The sequence below is a fragment of the Homo sapiens genome, chromosome 8 (genome assembly GCF_000001405.40).
Source record: "Homo sapiens chromosome 8, GRCh38.p14 Primary Assembly".
NCBI classification, from domain to species: Eukaryota; Metazoa; Chordata; class Mammalia; order Primates; family Hominidae; genus Homo; species Homo sapiens.
Window position 1 is genome coordinate 144,238,287 of NC_000008.11, and position 15,116 is coordinate 144,253,402.

At 60.5% G+C, this 15,116-nt stretch overlaps 1 protein-coding gene across 41 annotated transcripts in view; it reads left to right on the top strand.

Moving 5' to 3' along the window:
* MROH1 (maestro heat like repeat family member 1) overlaps positions 1-15,116 on the top strand; it is a 113,911-nt gene that overhangs the window by 90,271 nt on the left and 8,524 nt on the right. For 19 of the 41 annotated variants that reach the window (XM_047422170.1, NM_032450.3, XM_047422189.1 and 16 more), the window contains 19 exons: positions 470-577; positions 749-893; positions 1,037-1,077; positions 1,328-1,469; positions 1,815-1,867; positions 2,284-2,391; positions 2,706-2,825; positions 3,109-3,231; positions 4,083-4,229; positions 4,316-4,342; positions 5,208-5,330; positions 5,577-5,656; positions 5,936-6,050; positions 6,158-6,253; positions 6,870-6,974; positions 9,015-9,150; positions 9,281-9,393; positions 10,591-10,743; positions 11,926-12,080. In XM_047422170.1, coding sequence (XP_047278126.1) covers positions 470-577; positions 749-893; positions 1,037-1,077; positions 1,328-1,469; positions 1,815-1,867; positions 2,284-2,391; positions 2,706-2,825; positions 3,109-3,231; positions 4,083-4,229; positions 4,316-4,342; positions 5,208-5,330; positions 5,577-5,656; positions 5,936-6,050; positions 6,158-6,253; positions 6,870-6,974; positions 9,015-9,150; positions 9,281-9,393; positions 10,591-10,743; positions 11,926-12,080 — 2,090 coding nt within the window. Of the gene's footprint in view, positions 1-469; positions 578-748; positions 894-1,036; positions 1,078-1,327; positions 1,470-1,814; positions 1,868-2,283; positions 2,392-2,705; positions 2,826-3,108; positions 3,232-4,082; positions 4,230-4,315; positions 4,343-5,207; positions 5,331-5,576; positions 5,657-5,935; positions 6,051-6,157; positions 6,254-6,869; positions 6,975-9,014; positions 9,151-9,280; positions 9,394-9,872; positions 9,992-10,251; positions 10,561-10,590; positions 10,744-11,925; positions 12,081-12,900; positions 13,089-15,116 lie in introns of those variants that run through there. The other 22 variants (XM_047422176.1, XM_047422179.1, XM_047422182.1 and 19 more) reach the window with 5 other exon arrangements.

Sequence of the window (15,116 nt, forward strand, 5' to 3'; positions counted from 1 at the left end):
CAAAACCTGAATGGAACGTGTGGGAAACAGAAGTCGTCTGCTTACAGGGACGCCTTCTGGGGAGCTGAGCGTACAGAGAGGACAGCAGACATCCAGCCCACCGTGGCTGCCGAGGCTGGGTGGCGTCCTGGTGGGAACCAGGTTTTCTGACATGGGTAACGTTCCCACAGAGGCTATCCTGTTCCTCCCCTGCAGGCATTGCAACCTCACGAGCAGTGATTTTTTATGGAGTCAGTAGCTTAGCAAATGCTCAAGGTTTTGTTTGTTTTGAAGATGAGAACTGAGGCAGGTAAGCCTGCTTTCTTGGGTGATCTTAGCGGAGAGTGCCTTTCCTGTCTGTGGCAGGTGGTGCACATGTCTGCGTGACCTGCGGCGAGGCTCAGGGTCTGCCCCGCTTCCGGGCAGGCTGTGTCCTCAGGCCCAGAGCCATGGCCGCCCACGCACGCCTTTGCCTTTTGCCTTCCTCCAGCCTGAGAAGCCAGGCCCCGGCAGCAAGGACCCCAAGGCCGACAGCGTGCGGGCCATCAGCGTGCGCACCCTCTACCTGGTCAGCACCACCGTGGACAGGATGAGTCACGTGAGTGCACGGCACCCGTCCCTGCCTGGCGACAACAGAGCTCTCCAGGGCAGTGGCCCAGGGTGCTCAGGCCCAGCAAAGGGTCTGTCTCCACCTTGGAGCTCCGGCAGGGCCCTGTCTGCATGGGACCGCCCTCTGGGCGGATGCAGACCAGGCCCTCTGCTCCCCTAGGTCCTCTGGCCATACCTGCTCCAGTTCCTCACCCCTGTGCGCTTCACTGGGGCCCTGACTCCGCTCTGCAGGAGCCTCGTGCATCTGGCGCAGAAGAGGCAGGAGGCCGGGGCCGACGCCTTCCTCATCCAGTACGACGCCCATGGTGCGTGCCGCGCCGTACCCCACCTCCCCACTCCTGCCCCCACTTCCCCACTCCTGCCCCCACTTCCCCATCCTCCAGTTCCTGACACCCGCCCCAGGGCTACAGGCAGCCCCCCACTGACTATTTCCACCTCTCATCTCCAGCGAGCCTCCCGTCTCCCTATGCTGTAACCGGAAGACTGTTGGTGAGCCTCGCCCTTTCACAGCGTGCCCAGCGCCCCACTCTGTGTCCCTGTGCTCCACCCAGGCTTGGAAGGGGTTACCTTCTCAGTGGGCAGCCGCGGTCAGGGCTCAGGTGTGGTTTTCCTCTACGTGGGCGGCCCAGCTTTGGGAAGAGCCAGGCTCCCCGTCGGGTGATGTGGTCCTGCAGGTGCAGGTTGTGGGCATGACCAGTGCTCCCTGCTCAGACCCGGCTCCCACGCTGCCTCTTTTCAGGTTGTGTCTTCCAGCCCCTACCTAGGGGACGGACGTGGGGCAGCGGCGCTGCGCCTCCTCAGTGTTCTGCACCCAAACATTCACCCTTTGCTGGGTCAGCATTGGGAAACGACTGTCCCGCTGCTGCTGGGGTACCTGGATGGTGAGGCCAGGGTCAGGATGGGGTGCATAGCCCTGTGGGGAGGGCAGGTCTCAGAGTAGGAGGGTGCTAGCTCTGACCCCACCTTTGCCAAGTGGCACTAGGGTGGCCAATGGGGACTAGGGTTGTATAATTGGAAAATACAGTCTCCCCTGTTGTCCAAGAAAGGCCCCAGATGACCTGGGGCTTGAAAGGCACTCCCGCTGGGTGCTTCCTGGGAGCAGGTGGGGGGCAGCGGGGCGGCGGGGCCTGTCTGTGCTGAGCATCCCCAGCTCCAGGGCAGGTGCTGGGCTCTGAGCCCCACTGGTGCGTTTTGGGATGGGCTGGCCTGCGCGGCTGTCGTTTCAGAGCACACAGAAGAGACCCTGCCACAGGAGGAGTGGGAGGAGAAGCTGTTGATGGTGAGGGCCGGGGTACGGCCCATCCTGGGCCTTAAGGTGTTGTCTGGCCTGGGGGGTGCTGGGGTGGCAGAGGCTGGGCCACCTGCCTCGACCTCACCTCGTGGTTTGGCTGGGGAGCCAAGGATCAGGCAGCATCAAGGCTGAAGACCCCAGCAGCCTTGCAGCGGGGGCCTTGCTGTGACAAGGCACCGGCCCTCTAGCAGTCGCAGCCCCAAGCGTCGGGGGCAACCTCTCACCCTGCCTGGTGAGCCAACTGTGGCATGGCTGTCCCCTGAGGGTTGGCTCTGCCGCCCCCGGCCTCCGCTGGAAGGCGGTCTGCAGCCCCTGCAGCCACAGCACATGGGGATGTGCCCAGGCTCCAGCCAGCCCTGTGAGGGGTCGGGCTCCCAGCCCCTCAGTGGCATCTTGGCCTGCAGTTCCTGCGAGACACCCTGGCCATCATTTCTGACAACGCGTGGATCTGCCAGCTGAGCCTGGAGCTGTGCAGGCAGCTGCCCTGCTACGATGAGGCACCCCAGGAGAAGGTGGGGCACCTGCTGGCGTTCTTGGTGTGGTACTTGGGCTCCGAGTTTCTGGGTCTCGTGTCTGTCACTTGCTGTCTGGGCCCTGTCTCCCGTGGCCCTGGTGGCCTGGCAGAGCCTCCTTGTGGTGGCTGAGGGCCAGGAGTGCGAGAGCCCACCGGCCCCACCGCTTATTCCTCAGATGTTGCCCCAGACTCACCCTGCAGTTCTCATCAGCTTGTGGGCAGGAGGTGCACCCCAGGGGCAGCCCCATGGCAGCGCTGGGTCTCCCTGTACTCAGGAGTCAGGCAGAGCCGTGTTCTCTGGTTTTGTTTCAGAACTTCCTGTACAAATGCATAGGCACCACCCTGGGTGCTGCTTCAAGTAAGGAGGTGGTGAGGAAGCACCTTCAAGAGCTGCTGGAGACGGCCAGATACCAGGAGGAGGCAGAACGCGAGGTGGGGCCGCTTTCCCTGCAGAAGCCCCAGACACCCCAGGGCTGGAGGACGGTGGCACCTGCTGTTCTCTGAGGCAGCTGGCTAGCCTGTGTGCCTGTGTGTGCGTGTGTGCATACACAGGTGGTGTGCGTATATGCAGAGAGGGTGTGTGCATGTGTTGATGTGTGTGCAAGTGTGCGCATGTGTGTACATGTGGGTGTGCCCGTGTCCACACGTGACAGTGTGCGTGCATGTGTGGCAGTGCGTGCTCTTCCCTGCCCGGGGTAAGTGTGCTGCCCCCCAGGGCCTCGCCTGCTGCTTCGGGATCTGTGCCATCTCCCACCTCGAGGACACGCTGGCCCAGCTGGAGGACTTCGTGAGGTCAGAGGTCTTCAGAAAATCCATTGGCATTCTCAACATTTTTAAGGTTAGGGTGACACCGGTGCAGGGCTGGGGACGGCTGTCTATCCACAAGTTTGAGGCTCAGGGGGTGCCCTGCGGGCTGGAGTGGGGCAGGAAGCTGGTTGCGTCCCTGGACCAATTTTTGCTCCTGCATTCCTTCCATGGGCAGGACCTGTGCGTGGGTGCTCCCAGTGGGGAGGGCGGCAGAATGGCCTCCCGGAGGCAAACGTAGCTGTGGCCAGGGCCACGTCTCTGCCAGGTGTGGGTGATGAGAGGGGTTCGCGGCTGGGGCAGGCCTCTGCCCCCTGGTGGCTGGCAGATTCTGCGTTCTTGCCAAACCACCAGCTGTGCTGGCGGAGCCTAAGCCTGGTTTAAGGAAGGAGTGGGCCCCTGCTGCAGGCCCCCAACCCGGCTGTGGTCCCTCTATTTCCTGTCTCCCGTAACTGTCCCAGTTACAGCATCTCAGGGCTGGACCAAGCATGCAGGGCTTCCCAGCCCTTGCTGTGCGGATGGAGGCTGATCTGCAGCGAGCAAGGGTGGGGCCTTGAGCTCTTCTCAGCTGCCTCCTGCCTGACTCTCTCACGTGGCTGTGCTGCCTTGACCCTCGGCCCTCTGCTACCTCGGCCCTTGGCCCTCTGTTACTCGGTACCCAGTGGGCCCATGCCTGGCTGGCTGCCTGTGCTCCTGCCCCTTGCAAAGAGGCTCTCCCCATCCCCAGATTCAGGTGGTGCCGTGCACGGCTGGGTCACACCTCTGCTGTCACTGACTGGCTCTGGCCCTTCTTCTGGGAGGATTTCAGGAGTTTCTGAGCCGAGGATTCCCGTCGGGGAGTGTAATTGTGTAACTGAAGTCCCGCTGGTTCCTCTGGCCTCTCAGGATCGAAGTGAGAACGAAGTGGAGAAGGTGAAGAGTGCTCTGATCCTGTGCTATGGGCACGTGGCGGCCCGGGCCCCCCGGGAGCTGGTGCTGGCCAAGGTAGAGTCAGACATCCTCCGGAACATCTGCCAGCACTTCAGCACCAAGGTGGGCACTGCGGTGGGCCTGCCACGCAGGGGAGCTGGGGCTGCCGGGGAGTCACGTCTTAACTCATTTCACTTTTTGTTGTTCAGGTTCTAGGAATAAAGGTAGAAACCAAGGTACAGTGTGTAGGAATTAAGTGCTGGACTGGCTTCTCTCCTCTCGGCTCTCCTCTGGGCGGGTTGAGCTTCATAGGCAGAGGCCGGAGGGGGAGCTTGGAGCTTGCTGGGGCTTCCTGGTCTCCGTCCCCAGGAGGCGTTCGAGAGCATCACCAGGGCTCCTTCCCTGGCCTGGGCCCTGGACGGCAGTGGGAAGAAGGGAGGCGTCTGCGCCTCCGAGGGGCCGGGTCGTGGGCTGTCGCCCCCCAGGGAGTTCAGCCAGCCCCACCCGTCCCAGGACAGCTGGAACCTCCTCTGGCTCTGCTCCCCAGTGCTCATGGGGGCTGTACCTCCCCGGACCCCAGTGAGCACCTAGGAGAGGGGCCAAGGCCCAAAGCCAGTGGAAGTGGCAGTGGAGGCTCCACTGGCCCCCAAGGCCTCACCCCAGCCTCACTAACAAGTTTCCCTTCTGGCCTCCCTGGCACTAACCTGACAAGCCCCTCTCTCAGGACAGTCAGCCCCTCCTTGAAGAATAGGCCCTCTGGTTCTCCTGCGGTGGCTGGGAGGGCGGGGCTGTTCTGAGAGGTTCTTCTCCCAGCCCTTCAGCACTCCCCGGAGGACTCTTCTCCTGCTGTGGGGGGCCCTCTGGTCACACCACACAGTGTCTGCTCTGTGGCCTGTCTTCTCTGGAGTGTGACATGGGGGAACCCCTGGGTGGCCCCCCGCTTCTTCCACATGGACTTTGATAAGCAAAAGGGCTGGCTAGAGAGCTCCTTTGAGAGCAGAGTGCAGCACTTCTGGTTTCAGAGGAAAGAAAAGGGGGTATGCGCGGGTTCAGCCCTGGAGGGCGGGCGTGGGCGTCTCCTGTAGCCCTGCGTCCCTGCAGGACCCAGCCCTGAAGCTGTGCCTTGTCCAGAGTGTGTGCATGGTCAGCCGCGCCATCTGCAGCAGCACCCAGGCTGGCTCCTTCCACTTCACCCGGAAAGCAGAGCTGGTGGCACAGATGATGGTGAGCGTGGCCGTGGCCTGGCAGGTCCTCAGGCAGGTTCCTGGGAGACTGAGGCCAGAGGTGGGGACTGGGGCACTGAGGGTGATAATGTGAAGACAGCCTGGGAACATGGGAGGGGCCATGTAGGGACACATGGGGCTCTGCTCCTCGGGCCCCGCCTGTCACTTAGGCTGGGGGACAGAGCTTGACCAGGGAGGAGAGCTGGCGTTTCCTCCAAGGGCTGAGTCATGCACCTGCCTCACCCAGGAGTTCATCAGGGCAGAGCCCCCGGACTCCTTGAGGACACCTATTCGGAAGAAAGCCATGCTCACCTGCACTTACTTGGTGTATCCTTTCCTGCCTCTGCACAGGCCCGTGCAGCTGCGTGTGTGCGTGCATGTGTGTGCATTGTGTGTGCACGTGTATGCGCGTGTGCATGTGCGTGTGTGTGCCTGTGCTTGCGTGTGTGCACGCCTTGTGTGTGCGCATGCTGCATGGGGTGCCGCCATGGTCTGGAGCAGAGTAAACATGGCAGTGGCTGTGCTGCCCACACAGGCCTGGAGGTTACTGGGTGTCTGAGTTTCAGCCTTAGGATCATTGTCTGGGGCCCTTAACTTGCCTCTCAGCTCCGTGGAGCCAGCGCTGGACGAGCAGGCCCGGGCGGATGTGATCCATGGCTGCCTGCACAGCATCATGGCCCTGCTGCCTGAGCCCAAGGAGGAGGACGGAGGCTGCCAGAAGGTATCCCTGTGTTTCCCTTGCCTGTGTCCACATCCGTGAGAGTGGTGGGAGGCCACTGTAGGCTGCGGGGTCACTGGTGGGGCTGGACGGCCTGGCTCTCCTTCCAGTCCCTGTATCTGGAGACACTGCACGCCCTTGAGGATCTGCTGACGAGCCTCCTGCAGCGGAACATGACCCCCCAAGGCCTGCAGATCATGATTGAGGTGTGCAGGGGGGAACTGTCATGGGGATGGGGATGGGGGCACAGAGGGCACTCCACCTGGCTGCTGGCCCTCTCTCCACATGTGGGCACCACAGGGACAGTTTGGTGCTCTCTGCACTTGGGGGTGGTTTATGAACAGGCAGGTGCACCCCCTCCCATCTGGGCTGGCAAGCAGTTGGGGAGGCCCTGACCCAGGTGGGACCTCTGGAGCCTGTCCTCTCCCGCCACTGCATGGCGCGGGGATGGAGGGGCCCACGGGTACCCATGGCTCCTGACTGGGGGCCGCTACCAGGGTGGTGCTAGGGTGGGGCCGACCCCCATGCTCGGAGTGTGTTCTTCTAGGACCAAGGTGGCCTCCACCCTGTCCCTCCACAGTCCTGGCTGGCCCTGGATCCACCTGGGCTGGGTTGTGTCTGTGACCAGACTGGAGGACAGAGTGGCAGGGCCAGAGGAGCTACGGTGGCCTAAGGCTGGCACCACTCTGGGTCCCCGGCTTGGCCCCCTGTAGCCCAGGAAGGATGGCCTGGCAGGGACACTGAGCTGGCCCACGATGCACAAGGCTCCTGCCCCCAGGGCTGCCCTCTGAGCAGTACCTGTGTGACGCCCCTCTTCCTCAGCACCTGAGCCCATGGATCAAGTCCCCAAGAGGTCACGAGCGGGCGCGGGCCCTGGGCCTGAGCGCCCTCCTGCTGCGCTACTTCCTGGAGCACCTGCGTGTCAGCGTGAGTACCTGGGTCCCTGGCCCGGGTGCTGCTGCCTGTGTTACTCATGACCCAGAGTGTGAGCTGCCTTCCTGGCTTCCTCTGGCCGCCGCCCCAGCTCAGGCCACAGTCCTCTTCCTTGAGACCTGGATTGAGGGCCTGTCAGGGCCAGGAGTTGTCAGGGATGGCTGCTCAGAATAGAGTCCGTTGTCATCAGGGGTCCACTGTTAGCCGGAAGGAACATGCACCTCTGGTCTCCAGGGCTTCACTGTTGAGCGCGGTGCTTGATTTGGTTGGCGATATTTTTATCATGTTCCAGAAGCATCTATTTGTTTTAATGAGAACTTTTATCAGGAACAGGTATTAGATTTTGCTAAATATCTTTTTATCATCTGTCAGGATTATTCTAGGCTTTCTTTTCTCTCTCTTTTTTTCCCTGAGACAGGGTCTCACTCTGTTGCCCAGGCTGGAGTGCAATGGTGCAAACACAGCTCACTGCAGCCTGGAACTCCTGGGCTCAAGTGATCCTCCCGCCTTGGCCTCCCGAGTAGCTGAGACTACAGGTGCATGCCACCACACCCAGCTGATTTTCTTTTATTTTTTGTAGAGATGGGTCTTGCTACATTGCCCAGGCTGGTCTTGAACTCTTGGGCTCAAGTGATCCTCCTGTCTCGGCCTCCTAAAGTGCTGGGATGACAGATGCTGGGGTTACAGATGGGAGCCACTGCACCTGGCCTTTTGTTAATGCACCAAAACTATCTTTTCTTTTTTTTCTTTCCCTCCCTCCCTCACCTCCCTCCCTTCCTCCCCTCCCTCCCTCCCTTCCTCCTTCCTTTCCTTCCTTTCCTTCCTTTCCTTCCTTCCTTTCTTTCCTTTCTTTCCTTTCTGAGACCGAGTCTCTCGCTCTCACCCAGGCTGGAGTGCAGTGGCGCAATCTTGGCTCACAGCAACCTCCGCCTCCTGGGTTCAAGCGATTCTCCTGCCCCAGCCTCCCGAGTAGCTGGGATTACAGGCGCCCACCACCACTGCCGGCTAATTTTTGTATTTTTAGTAGAGATGGGGTTTCATCCTGTTGGCCTTGAACTGGTCTTGAATTCCCAGACTGGTCTTGAACTCCTGACCTCAAGTGATCTGCCCACCTCAGCCTCCCAAAGTGCTGGGATTACAGGCATGAGCCACCGCGCCCTGCCGAAACTTTCATTCTTTATGTGGTCAAATCTCGTGTGTTCAGGGCTCTTCCCACCTCATACTTTCATGGCCTGTTCATCACATAACCCTGGTCTGGCTGAAGCTTACCTTGGTGCATGATGTGATGGATGCCCAGTCTAAGAACAATGGCTGGTCACCCTGCAGTCTTTCTCTAACATTCCAGCCTTTCCCTTCTGACTTGAAATTCTTTCTCATCAGTGGCGCCCAAGTAGATACCAGGTTTCCATCTGAGCCCAGGATCCTGTGCAAGGGTAGGGTGGGAGCACCTCCCAGGAAGGCCTCGCACGTGGGGGCTGAAAAGGGAGCAGGTGGTGGGAGGGGGACAGGTGCGTCTGCCAGGGAGGAGGTGTGGAAGTAGGAGGAAGCTGTCTGCCTATAGGAGCATGGGAGGAGCAGGACTGAGGAGAGCAGAAAGGCTCTGGAAGGCAGGACCAGGACAGTCAGGGTGTGAGGGGGTCTTGTACAGTCCTGCCCCTCACCCAAATTGGCAGAGCCCGTGCACTCCTCCCATTTGGGGCCCCCTCCTCACCCCAGTTGTCCGTCTGCCTGCACACGCCTGCGTGCCCACGTCGGCATGGCCTGGCCCTCCTTCTTGTAGGGGCCCGGCCTGGGAGCCTGTGTGGCCCTGGTGTAGACGAGGTGTGGTCAGAGCTGAGCTGAGCAGCGCCCACGCTGCAGCAGGAGGGGAGGGAGGAACTCACTGGGAGCTGTGTTGGCCACACTGAGGGCCCAGGGCTTCGTGGACACCAGCAGCACTCCTGGCCACACTCCAGCCCTCCTCTGGGTACAGGTGGCATAGGTGGCATCCACCCACCCCCAGCATTCTAATAGCCCAGGCATCTCCTCCTCCAGGCCCTGGTGCCCTTCCACAACCTGGGCCTTCTCATCGGCCTCTTCTCCCCACGGTGTGCGGACCTGTGGCCTGCCACCCGCCAGGAGGCCGTGGACTGTGTCTACTCCCTGCTGTACCTCCAGCTCGGCTATGAGGGTGAGCCCTCGTCAGGAGTGTGGGGGCCAGTGGTCGTGCAGGGGTGCTTGGAGGGATGAGGTGCGGAGTCCAGGCTGTGGGATCGCCAGGGAGGGCCTGGGCCCGACTGCTCATTCCTGCCGCCTCTCAGGCTTCTCCCGGGACTACCGCGATGACGTGGCGGAGCGGCTCCTCAGCCTCAAGGACGGCCTCGTGCACCCTGACCCCGCCATTCTCTTCCACACCTGCCACAGTGTAGGCCAGGTACCAGCTGGGAGCTCTGCGGCCGGAAGGCAGGCTGGCACTGTCTGGGGCTAACAGGGACTTCCGAGGTGGCACCTGGCCTCCCCTAGCCTCTGGAAGTGCCACCCATGGCCAGTGGGCATGAGCAGGGCCTGGGTGTTTGCATTAGTTGCCGGCGCTGCCCTGCGCTGGCCCCATCACCCACACCCGCCTACGCTGGGGCAGTGCAGTCCATATGAGAGGAAGGTGCTATTTGTCTTGAGACCTGGCAGAGGCCAAGGAGAGAATGGGGTGCCATGAGGCACAGCCGCCCTCTGTCTGCCACTGATACCCTGGCCTGCTCATGAAGATGCAGGTTTCTGGAACAGAATCTTCAGCGGCTGCCCTGTGTGGTGTTGTCCCCAGAGGCTACCCAAGAGCCACGTGGGGGGCTAGGGTCATCGCCTGCAGGGTGCAGCGGGCTCTAGCCCTCTTGCCAAGGGGCCTGCCCTTGGTTCCAGCTGGTCAAGGTGCTTTGTCTACTGCCATCTGAAGGGAGGATGACCCTGGGCACCGCGTCCCCTCCCCGACCCATGCCTGCCTGGTCTACTCTGAGGCTCAGCTCACAACACAAGCTTGAGTATTATTAAAGTATTGCATTACGGGGGGGAAAAAAAGAGTCCTTCCAAGGGGATGAGAAAGCTGCCCCTCCCTCCGTGCTCTCATGTGGGTCCCCAAGCTGGAACACGGCCTGTCTCCATTTGGTGCTTAGGAATGGCCTTCCAGGTCCAGAGACTGTGTCTCCTGCAGAGGAAGGAGGGGTAGGTCACCAGGGCCTTTTCTGGTGCTGGGATCACAGGTGTGAGCTAAGGCTCACCTGCCCTTGACCCCGTGTTCTAGAGAGCTCCAGGGCGACTGCACCACAGGGCTGCTCCCAGCCCACTTCACTGGTCAGAAGGAGCCTGAGGGAGGGTACTGTGACCCCAGCCCTGCAGCTGCCCAGGCACCACCTTCCAGGAGCCCGCCCAGGTTCCAGCAGGCCCTGGCAGGTTCCGGAGAAGGAGACCCCACCCCCGTGCAGCGAGCTCATTGAAGGCGCAGGGCCCAGCGGCTGGGGCCCGGCTGCAAGAAGGGGTGTGGCTTCCCGCCCTAACGCGAGCCCCTGAGACCCGATGCCTAACAGAAGTGGCGTTGGGGGTGCCCCCCTTCCCTCAACCTCTGGCATCGCCTTCCTCCTAGATTATTGCCAAGCGCCTCCCCCCAGACCAGCTCATCAGCCTCTTGCTAACCATGTTTGAGGCCCTGGGAGACCCCGAAAAGAACTGCTCCCGAGCAGCTACCGTCATGATCAACTGCCTGCTGCAGGAGCGGGGCGGTGTGCTCCAGGAGAAGGTGGGAGAGGGCGGGGCGCGGGGGGTGCTCCAGGAGAAGGTGGGAGAGGGCGCGGTGGGACGGGCAGGGCAGGAGTGGGGTAGTGGCTCTTGGAGAGGTGGCACTGCGGGAGAAAACAGTGAGGCTGGCCCTGGCCTGTCCTGGACCACCCTGCCCAGCCCTCCTCGGGTGTGACCCCCACTGCTCTGCCCCCTCTCCCTACAGGACTACCATGGAGAAATCTTTCTCTTATGTCTGAAGACAGGGGTTAGAATTTGGCAAAAACAAGTGCTGAGAGAATAAGGGGGGAAAAGGAAGTGAAAAGGCGGGTGAAAGCGCTCATGTTTCCCTTAGCCCACAGGGTGTCAGCCGTCCCCTAGGGAGAGGCAAGCCTGACCTCATGGCCCATTGCTTTGTTTTCACCCAACATGGTGGTATTTTCCAGCTGTGCAGTAAGCATTTGGCAGTAGGGGTCACCATGGCTGAGGGTGGAGAGGAGACTCCCAGGCCAATACCCATCATGAGCAGGGAGCCCCCTCGTGACAAGGCCGTCCCCCAGAGTGAGGCTCATGCTATGCTGCTGCTGGACTTGTGGTGGGCCTGGGGGTCCCAGGGCCAGCGTCCTCCTGCCCACGTTTCCCCCGCGTTCCGTTCACCTGCTTTCTGGAGCAGCAGGACAGTCGCAAACTCACAGCCCCCCCCAAGTCCCATCCTTCCGTCTCAGGCCCAGCTCCATCCTCGGTCTGGGAATCTGTCTCCTTCTCCCTTCCCGCCACGTCCCCAGCCCAGCTCCCGCAGGAGTGCCGTTGGCAGCTGTGTGGGTCCTGCCTCCGGTGGGCCTGCCAGGGGAGCCTGAGAGTTGCACCCAGCAGGCGTGCTGTGAGGGCATGGGGCCGCTGGCTCTGTTGGATGCCTGCCCAGCTCCGAACCAGCCTCTGGGCCACATGTGCCCTTGGCGCTTCCTCTACCTCCCGGGGCACTGGCCACTTTGCACGCAGAATCCAGGTCGTGGCTCCAGTTCCTTGGCTTCTGGGCTGTCCGTGGCCCACGGGGGATCCTGGCCCTACCTCAGGCTGGAACCAGCAGTATGGAGCTCTGCATCTCATGGGGCTCCCTCATGGCCCCACCCCCTTGGGCTGGCGTAGGTGTGCCCACAGCTGTCCCCCACGCGTGGCCTGACCACCGTGTCCCGCCCATCTACAGGTGCCCGAGATCGTGAGCGTCCTGCGCTCCAAGCTTCAGGAGGCCCAGGGAGAGCACGTCCTGCCGGCCGCCCAGCACAGCGTGTACCTCCTGGCCACCCAGCACTGCGCAGCCGTGGTGTCCAGCCTCCTGGGCAGCCCCTTGCCCTTGGACAGGTACCCAGCTCAGACTCCAGGCTTAGGGGTCCCTCTGGAATGATGCTCCCCCTGGAATGATGCTCCCCGAGCCCTCCACCCGGCTCTGCACCCCGACTTTCTGCATGAGTTCCCATGGCTGTAGGCCACGTGGGACAGAAAGTGACATGGAGCCAGGCCCCAGTCTCTCAGGTACCCACGGGGACCTCTCCTCTCCAGGCGTTTTGGGATCCTCACTGGCTCCGGTGGGCCCTGCACAGCACCCCCACAGGGAAGCTGCTGTTTCTGCCTTCCTCTAAGGTCCCAAAACTGCCTGGCTGCTCTGTTGGCCCCAGGCTCCAGCACACACTGGAGGCTGCCCCTCACCCTGTGTCTTGGTTCCGGCTACTCCAAGCCTTGTCCTCTGCAGGGCATCCACTGCTGCCTGTGAGCAGACCCCTGGGAACTGCCTGATCTGAGCCCCCTCAGGAGCCCAAGGACAACCTTGTCTGTACCATACATCACTATGTCTTCCCAAGCTCACACCTCCCAGCTCCCAGCAAAGGGCAGGGCGTGTCTACCACCCACCAGCCCACTGGGGTCCCCCTTCCTCGCCGAGGCCTCCGGAGCATGGGTCTGCTGGCCCTTCCTTTCTTTGCCATCTTAGTCATGGACAGAGGCTGGCCCAGGGGCACCTGGCTTCCTGTGACCTCCGGGAGACTCCATGCTGGGCAAGGCAGAGTGACCCTTCCCCTGGCAGGCGGGGGCATGAGGCTGCCACGGGGAACACAGGTTTCCTTGCACCTGGCCCTTTACCCTGTCAGCTTTGCTGTTTTCATGTGCTCTGACGCCCTCCCATTAGGTGCATCCAAGCTGCAATGCCCACTTCCTCCTGGCAGGGGGGACCCGCAGGCACCTTCTGCTCAGAGGTGCACTTGTCTGGTGGCCCTGCTCCTTCCTGGTACTGTTGACCTTTCTGTGTGTTTGTTTTAAATCTCTTGCATGGTAAATAGCTGCATTTTGTTACTGATAAGAGTGAGTTTAAATCCACTGTCATATCTTTTGCGTCTTTGTTACACATTTTGTTTTTTAAAAATCTTCTTTCTTGTCCTTTTTTAGATTGACAGTGTCCCTCTTACCTCACTTTCTCCACTCAGTTTGTAATCCTGCAGTCTGTTGCTTTTCTTTTAGCGTTTGCCCTAAAGGTGGCTGCATGTGTCCTCACTGAAGTCCAGCATGGGCCCCAAATGCAGGCTGAGGTCTGGGTCTGGCTGGGCTGCTGGGCGCCCGAGTCATCATGACCATTGTTCCTGGGCACAGCCGGCGTTGACTTGTATTTCCTCCGTGATTACCGCCTGGCTCATCAATCACTGTTTTCGTTTTCCGTGGAGGCGTGGCTCACACAAAGGGCAAGCACGGAGTCACTGGGTCCTGCAGGACTTTCCAGGTCAAGGCAGAGGAGGTGTCCGGTCCCCAGCAGGCTCCTGTGTGCCCCTCAGTCCCCTAGAGGGTCACGGCCACCTGACCGCCACCACTAGAGGTTTTGGCGATTGTGCTGTGTGGTGGGTCTTCCCGGCCTCTGCTTAGCACAGCAGTGCTGCTGCCCATCCTTCCTCCTTGCCAGGTAGTGCCGGGTGCTGCTGCCCATCCTTCCTCTGCCGGGCAGTGCCGGGTGCTGCTGCCCATCCTTTCTCCTTGCCGGGTAGTGCCGGGTGCTGCTGCCCATCCTTTCTCCTTGCCGGACAGTGCTGGGTGCCGTGTGGGCTGCACTGTGTGTGTGTTTCTAGGTGATGGACATTCAGATTGTTTTTTGGTTTGGGGCTGCTGGGGATGGCGATGCTTTGAATGTTCCTGGGAGTGTCTGTTGGTGGGTAGAGCATGCATTTCTCTTTCGTGTGTATATAGGAGTGGAATCAAGGCCGGGCACTGTGGCTCATACCTGTAATCCCAGCAGTGTGGGAGGCTGAGGCAGGAGGATTACCTGAGGTCAGAAGTTTGCGACCAGCCTGGCCAACATGGCAAAACCCCGTCTCTACTGAAAATATAAAAATTGGCCAGGCATGGCCAGGCGCAGTGGCTCACCCCTGTAATCCCAGCACTTTGGGAGGCTGAGGTGGGTGGATCACGAGGTCAGGAGATCGAGACCATCCTGGCTAACATGGTAAAACCCCGTCTCTACTAAAAATATAAAAAATTAGCCAGGCGAGGTGGCAGGCGCCTGTAGTCCCAGCTACTCGGGAGGCTGAGGCAGGAGAATGGTGTGAACCCAGGAGGCGGAGCTTGCAGTGAGTTGAGATTGCACCACTGCACTCCAGCCTGGGCGACAGAGCAAGAACTCTGTCTCAAAAAAAAAAAAAATTGGCCAGGCACGGTGGCTCACGCCTATAATCCCGACACTTTGGGAGGTGGACCACCTGAGGTTGGGAGTTCGAGACCAGCCTGACCAACGTGGTGAAACTTCATCTCTACTAAAAATACAAAATTAGCCAGGCGTGGTGGTGCCTGCCTGTAATCACAGCTACTCGGGAGGCTGAGGCAGGAGAATCACTTGAACCCAGGAGGCGGAAGATGCAGTGAGCCATGATTGGGCCATTGCACTCCAGCCTGGGCAACGAGAGCGAAACTCCGTCTCAAAAAATAAATAAAATTTATTTCATATATATATATATATATATATGAATTAGCTAGGCGTGGCAGCACGTGTCTGTAATCCCAGCTACTCAGGAGGCCAAGGCAGGAGAATCGCTTGAACCTGGGAGGTGGAGGTTGCAGTGAGCTGAGATCGCGCCGTTGCACTCCAGCCTGGGCAACAGAGCAAGACTCTGTCTCAAAAAAAAAAGAAGTGGAGTCACTGTGGCCATCTCTACCCTGCCACCCCGTGAGCTAAGGATGGGTTCTACATTCATAAATGGTCAGAAAAAGACAAAAAGAATATTTCATGACACGTGAAAATGATAGGAAATCCTGATTCCAGTGTCCATGAGTTAAAGCTTCCGGAAGCAGCCGCTCCGTCCACTTCCACGCTGTCTGTGGCTGCTCTCGCACTACAGCGGCAGGCTTGATGAGCTGCCAGAGGCC